Source organism: Homo sapiens, chromosome 6 (genome assembly GCF_000001405.40).
Source record: "Homo sapiens chromosome 6, GRCh38.p14 Primary Assembly".
NCBI classification, from domain to species: Eukaryota; Metazoa; Chordata; class Mammalia; order Primates; family Hominidae; genus Homo; species Homo sapiens.
In genome coordinates, this window is record NC_000006.12 from 159,122,432 (window position 1) to 159,129,877 (window position 7,446).

The following is a 7,446-nucleotide window of genomic DNA, read 5'->3' on the forward strand; positions in this document are numbered from 1 at the left end:
CCACCCACCTCGGCCTCCCAAAGTGCTGGGATTACAGGTGTGAGCCACCGTGCCCAGCCTGTTTGAGCTCTTATAGTTTGCCAGCACATTAAAATATAGTCTTTGCTACTGCATTCATCCTTGGCCTTGGAATACAGTTGGCATTCCATACCAAGGTGCATATTCTATTAATAGACGCATTTAGTTTGTCTGGGTGCCACACATACGCAACAGACATCTAGTGGGAGTAGAATGACTTTCTCTATTGACCTTTGTACAGACTGAAGCTCATAATAGTGGTTTCCAAATACAGAAGCATCTGTTAAAAATTCAAAACTGAAGCTCCCTTCTTAAGACTGCATGTTAAGGAAATCATACCTTTATCTTTAACCTTCTTTATTATTATTATTTTTTTTGAGACAGAGGCTTGCTCTATCGCCCAGGCTGGAGTGCAGTGGCATGATCTTGGCTCACTGCAACATCTGCCTCCCAGGTTCAAATGATTCTCCTGCCTCAGCCTCCCGAGTAGCTCGTATTACAGGTGTGTGCCACCATGCCTGGCCAATTTTTGTATTTTTAGTAGAGATGGGGTTTTGCCATGTTGGCCAGGCTGCTCTCAGACTCCTGATCTCAGGTAATCTGCCTGTCTTGGCCTCCCAAAGTTCTGGGATTACAGACATGAGCCACCACGCCCGGCCTCTCTCTTTAAATAATGTGGAAGGAGAAGAATGATTTCGGTGCAGGAAAAGAGAAACTGAAGTTAGTTTGGCACAGATTCTCAGTTCTGCAAGTTAAATTGCCTCTATTTCAGATTTTTCTGCACTGAGGTATTTACACGTTTATTAATTGAAAGGTAAAGTAATCTGACATAAAGACAGCCTCTAGTGGGATGGCCTGTGTAAGTGGTCTGCTCTGTTACAGCATCTCCACTGCTTTCTCAGGGCCATCCTCATTGTTGTGGGGAAGTTGTGTTAGGACGTGGTGCTGCCCCTGGCCATATTTGCTTGGTTTAGAGGTGGATGAGTGGCTCTTCCTGGGCCAGGGATGTCTCCATGCTGCTCCTGGCCATAGTAAGTCCTTGGTTCAGGAATAACCACCAGACCCAAATTAGGATACAGCTGTTTTCTGCGAATTTTGCAAGTGGAATGAAGAGACGAAACCATCTCTTAAGTGTTAGGATTGTGAGAGGAAAAGTTGGGGATCCTTCAGGGGACCATTTGCCCCCCATGTGTTCTTGGGGAGGGGAGAGCAGCTTGCAAGAAGAAGGAGCAGAGCAGGAGGGGATGGAGGGGCTCTCTTGGCAGTGCCGCCTCCTGGGTGTCCAGGTGTTTTCTAATTTGGGTCTTGTGACTCTTTCCAGAATCTTCTTGTCAAATCCTAAAATCAATCCATTGTACAGGAAGCAGTTAGGGATGTGTATTAGTCTGTTTTCATGCTGCTGATAAAGACATACTCAAGACTGGGCAATTTATGAAAGAAAGAGGTTTAATGGACTCACAGTTCCACATGGCTGGGGAGACTTCACAATCATGGTGGAAAGTGAAAGACATGTCTCACATGGCAGCAGGCAAGAGAAAAGAGCTTGTGCAGGGAAACTCCCTTTATAAAACCATCGGATCTCATGAGACTTATTCACTATCATGAGAATAACACAGGAAAGACCCTCTCCATGATTCAGTTACCTCCCACCGGCTCCCTCACACAACATGTGGGAATTGTGGGAGCTACAGTTCAAGATGAGATCTGGGGGGTGGACACAGCCAAACCATATCAGGCTGATTTCTACAATATTTGACTAAAAACTTTTTAATGTATGTAGTTCATATAATTAATTTTCTGCTAAAGAACTTCTAGAAGACAAAATAAAAACCTTTCTTTATGCATTTAAACAGAAAATGGCATAACCTACAGATAGCATTTACTCAGAGGGCGGTTAATCATTTTTTACAAACATGCAGAGTTTGGTAATAATGGCAAGGAAATCTCCTCTCCTCAGCCCACTCCCCAGGATGCAGGACACTCACAATTACTTTAAAATTATGTTTTTGAAGATGTTTCTTCTGTTCCATGTTTCCTGAAGGGGTATTCTTATCTGTTGTCTTATTTCTATTTTTGACTCTAAAATTAATCTTCGGTATTATCACTTTGAGTAGACATTATTATAAAAAGTAAACAGATACTTATCTATATTATCAAAAGTATAATTTGCTACATAATTTATTTATATTTAAATAGAATGTTTTATATTTACATTATAAAAATTAACTATGATTAGTAGAGAATATTTGAAAAATGTAGAAAAATAGAGGCAGATAGATAAATGCTGGTCATATTTTGGTATATTTCTTGTCTGATCCTTTTCAATGCATTTTTACATAGTTGTGATTCTTTTAAAGACACAATTTTGTTTCCTGGTTTTTTTCAGTTAAGATAAAATAGCATACACATTTCCATATTCATCACAAGTTTTTTATGGTTTTGTTATTATGTATTTTTTAATGTTATGGATGCACTGTAATTTAATCTGCCCACATAATTTTAAGGAATTAGATGGTTTCATATTTTTAACAATCATAAACAATGCTATAATAAATATGTTTGTAGGTACTTTTATAATATTTAGGATTATTAGCTTAGAACAAATTACTAGAAGTGTATTTCTGTACTAAAGCTTCTGATGATTTGAAACCTATTTATGCATGTTACCACTACAAAAGGATTGCACCTATTCATTCCCCATCTAGTGTTGTTTAAGTGTGCCCACTTGCCCTGTGCTCGCCAGCAGAGGGGGTGCTCATATTTAAAAATCTTTATTAATTTGATAGGGGAAAATTTTTTACCTTATAACTTGCTTCTATAAACATTATTGTAAGATCGAACATTATACAAATGTTTGTTAACCAGATGTATGTATTTCTTCTTTAATGATTTTTCTATTCGTGCTGCTATTGCAGGCATTTAAATGAAGGACTGTTTAGGTGAATGGCAGGAAAGTGGCATCTGACAGTCAGCCTGATGTGGTTTTCCCTCGGTGCCATGGAAATACTCATGGTGACGCAGAAAATTATGAAAATTAATAGCACCACCAAAAATTAGTACTAGGAGGGAAACTATTGCTGAACAGGGAAGAACATTCCAGAGCACAAATGTCTCCTCTTTTTATTTTGCTCCAAAAAAAATTTGTTAAGCAATATATCCATAATCCATATCATGATTCAAAAATACAGAGAACATCTGTACATTATTTAATAAAAGTACAATATTATTTTTCCTTTACAAAGAGAACACAAGTAATAATTCCTTGAAAGTAAAATGTAACATTCATCTTAAAGCTGCATCAACTTTTTGGATGAAATGTGGTTAAAATGAATACCATAAAATACATAGGAAGAAAGAAACATCAGTAAAACTCTCCTCTGAATGGCAATAGTTATCTTACATTTCCCCTGCCTTAAAATCCCACTTGGCACACATAATGAAGGCTAATCACTGTTGACTAAAAATTAGGAAATTAAGGAAAACCTTAAGCCTTCAATGCCCATAATAAATGTGCCTCATTGTTTTATTCTAAACCATGATGACCTAACCTAGGACAGGGCAGACCGCTGGTTCTGTGGTCATGTGGGAAGCTGCTCTGGGCCAACATTATTGCTCAGAGCAGCCCCTGCCAGGGCTCCTGATGACATGTCAGGAGGCCAAGTGCAGTGGGGATATTGAACAGGAGACAAGCTGTCTGCTGTCCCCATCCATCCCAGCAAGCCCTCCCACTGTTGCTGTCTGTACAGCTGCTTTCGCTGTCCCAGGCAGACTGGAAGACACCCAGCCCCCGTGGCCCTGGCCAATCAATACCGGTCTTATGTCCACTTGTCCAGGGGCTCTGCCTAGCACGAGATGGACAGTCAGCTGCTGCTCAGACAGCCATGAGTCTCCCTGCTTGGCATCTGTGTTCCAGGCAGCAGCACCATGAGCATATTCACAGATACTGGGGTCTCAGTTTAACCAACTCTTTTTTTTTCTTCAATGCAGCGTGCTTCCTCGTATAGGAAAACCGGAGGATTTCCTCAAATTGCTGAGTGATAATGTAGCACTGAGACCAGGGAAAATGATTTTGCTTCTCCTCTGAGTAAAACACTGCTTTCCTTACAGGTAAATCACACAGCCATGGAGGCACCCACATCTTTGGCTCAGATGAAGCTGCCAGAGTGACCCACTGGGTCCAGCGCAGATGCCCTCAATTCAAGAGATGGGTCTGGAGCTGGGCAGGTGTGGAGGGGGGTCTGGTCCAAGACTAAGTCCCTGAATCACCCCTGGGAAGAGAGCGGCCAGGCCTTCTGGAGCAAGGCTCGGATGATGCAAGCAGTGTGACTCCTGTGTCCTTGCAGAGCTGGGGCCTGGCCAGGCAGCATGACCTTCTTTTCCAACTGAACGGCCACTCCTGAGTGTCTGTCTCACGGGCAGACAGCCTTTCTGCCTAGAGAAAAGCATTTGGTCAGGGTCCAAACTGTGTCCCAAGGAACTGTCTTATTCTGCTCACATTTTCTGTTTTTTTTTTTTGCCAAAGCTATATGTGTATTATTTTGGTAATATTATTGTAACTGGTAAAAGTAAACACTAAGAAGAGATAAGCACAGAAACTTAAAAAGAAAAAGTCAAAATTCAATACATGGGACAGTGCACAGTGGCAGCCAGGATGGCATCATTGCATGTTAAACAATAGCTTCCCACACAGAAGCCAGTCACCTTTCCTAAGAAGGCAGCGAGACCTCAGGAAGCCAGGCGATGATCGAAACTTAACCAGCCACCAGAACCTGCATCAGCGACACCAGGTCTTTCTGGTGACAGCAGTGAGAGTGAATGGTTCAAAAGTGGAGTGCAAACATCAGATTCACTTCTTCTTTTTTTTTTTTTTTAGATGGAGTCTCGCTCTGTCACCCAGGCTGGAGTGCAGTGGCGCGATCTCGGCTCACTGCAACCTCCACCTCCTGGGCTCAAGCAATTCTCCTGCCTCAGCCTCCTGAGTAGCTGGGATTACAGGCGCCCGCCACCATGCCCGGGTAATTTTTTTATTTTTAGTAGAGACAGGGTTTCGCCATGTTGGTCAGGCTGGTCTTGAATTCCTGACCTTAGGTGATCTGCCTGCCTTGGCCTCCCAAAGTGTTTGGATTACAGGCATGAGCCACTGCGCCCGGCCATCAGATTCACTTCTGAAGAACCGCCGGGTGCTGTTTTATCACAAACTCCCTGCACTTACCTATTTCTCTCCACAACAAATGGTAGAAGAGTGAAAAAAAATTTTCCCCACAATTTATTCTCCATAATCTCTAAACATCCGTGTTAACAAAAAGCTGTCACTAAATAAAAATACATCTTTAGTTTCACGGCTGTGGCTGAGACAGGTGTGTGGAGCGGTGCGGCTGGCTCCCTCTGGGGCCTACCTGACCCTTTTTCTTCTGAGCTGCAGGAAGGCACCGGGTCTGAGGGAGCCCCTTCCGGCCTGGGACCCATGGGGTGAGCTGCAGCAGCGGCCGACCACCCACCTGCACCTGCCTGGCACCTGCCGCCTGGGAAGGGTCCGCTTGTGCCCACTGACCATACCCACCAGCATCCGAGAGCACACCCTGCTCTCTCAGCTGGCTCCCGGGAAGCACAGGCAGTCCAGAAACATCCCTGGAACCAGGGGACCAGGAACCACGGGATCATGGATGTGGAGACCGTCCTGACCAGGACCGTTGTGGGATGTTCTCGTTCTCATTCACTCCCTGTGAACCTCCTGCGGGGAGGGTCCCGTCTGAGAGACAGAGCTTCACAAGTCCCTTTCTGCTTTATTTCCTGTCTCAGTGACACATTAGAAAACAGGAGGAAAAGATATCATAGCTGCAGCCACCGGAAGGAAGCGAGGCTATCATTCCAAATGACCCTCCTCATAAAGAAAAACGGACTTAAACTGGGAATTTCACGTCTCAGTTGTCTCCTAGGTTTCTTTCTCTGGTGTGAGGACAGAAACAGGCTTCCCTGCCTTCCCCAGGAACCTCTCCCTCCTCTGAAGGCCTGGGAGAGCATTTCTGAGAGCTTGCAGTGCTCTTGGGAGCCACACTAGGCACCATCACAAACGTATCACAACAGACCGCACGTGTGCATTCTTCCCCAGCTAGCACCAAAAAGAAGATTCCAAATCGGTTTGGTGAATGGTGGTTAAACAAAAAGTACAGTCTAGCTTCCTAGTTTCCTTCCAGAACTGCTGCTGTGGCACAACCAATTCACATCAAGGAATCCTCTGGGACGTGAGCTGCGGGCCTGGCGACGCGCAACACAAGCAGGGCAGGGCATTCATTGTTCATCGGCTCCTAGCAGGTGGACTCTCTTCACAGACACACAGACCCACGATCTTCGTGCTATTACGGTTGCTTCATCTTCACAGTAAAAGCGTCAGGAATTCCCAGAGCGATGGGACATCAGCTCGGCTGTTCCGCTGTCTCTTGTCGGTGCTGGTCACGGAACCAACAGCCCCTTTGGTAATGAAGAGCTCTTTACTCCTGAGGGAGGACTGAAGTCCAAGCCAAAAGGCAGGGCACAGTGACGCAGAGGCCACTCCCTCAGGGGATGAGCCCCCTGCCCTCCCCAGGCCCATCAGAGGCCTCCCCGACAAGAGTGCTCGGTGGCCGGAACCGGCAGGGAGCTGAGTGCGAGGAGACCCGGGACACCGCTGCACTGGCCCCGCACGCGCGTCTCAGTGGCGGGTGTGCTCCTGCGGTGTTGGGACGCATGGAGCCCGTGCTGTACGAAACAGTCGTAGAAAACTACAAACAGGCTACACGAGGGGGAGGCCTCGAGCTGCAAAGTGGTGGCTGTGGACCACGTTAAACCGTCTCTACCCGGCCTGTGCGCTTGGCCTGGCAGCCTGAGCTCACAATCGTCCGACCACGTCCACTGGACGCCCTCGGTGACTGCTGGGCACATACGGGGGTCATCCTATCAAAAGTTACGGTGAAGTCAGGGTGGGTGGCGAGTCCCTGCAAGGTCGCCCCTCTGTGCCAACACAGCCTGATGGCTTCTTGTTTCAGGAAACATCCAGAATTACAACTGGCCATTGAGTTATTACATATCAATTGAACAAGGTAGTTTTAAAATGAAAGAAAATCTTGCAACATGAATAAAGAGATAGACTCTTTGAATCTGGCATACAGCTTTCCCTTCCTTCTTCCTGCTTTCCTGGACACACCGTGGACAGACCCATTTCCCTCTGGATTCATGGTAAGGTATGTGTGGCCTCTGGAGGAAGGCAGATGGTGGGTCTTACTCCGGTTACAGTGCTTTATTTACCAAATCGTAGCTACACTGCCTTTCCCCCTGCCAGAAAAGGTTGTCGAACTCTTTTATCTTGGAGCATTTATGGGACCTGGATCCCACTGCGTGATTTTGGGAAATGCTTGTCTAAGGAGCTTTCAGGCTCTGTGTGAAGAGCTATAT

At 45.5% G+C, this 7,446-nt stretch overlaps 4 annotated features.

Moving 5' to 3' along the window:
• Nucleotides 2,326–5,381: an enhancer, noted in NCBI's record as "VISTA enhancer hs2576". NCBI's record gives its function as "enhancer in: eye[4/6]" and the evidence as "EXISTENCE:transgenic organism evidence [ECO:0001131][PMID:17130149]".
• Nucleotides 2,326–5,387: a biological region, named in NCBI's record as "VISTA enhancer hs2576".
• Nucleotides 4,868–4,947: an enhancer, noted in NCBI's record as "active region_25387". NCBI's record gives its function as "activates an Ori minimal core promoter by ATAC-STARR-seq in GM12878 lymphoblastoid cells {active_cell/tissue: GM12878}" and the evidence as "EXISTENCE:reporter gene assay evidence [ECO:0000049][PMID:35858748]".
• Nucleotides 5,338–5,387: a silencer, noted in NCBI's record as "silent region_17749". NCBI's record gives its function as "represses an Ori minimal core promoter by ATAC-STARR-seq in GM12878 lymphoblastoid cells {active_cell/tissue: GM12878}" and the evidence as "EXISTENCE:reporter gene assay evidence [ECO:0000049][PMID:35858748]".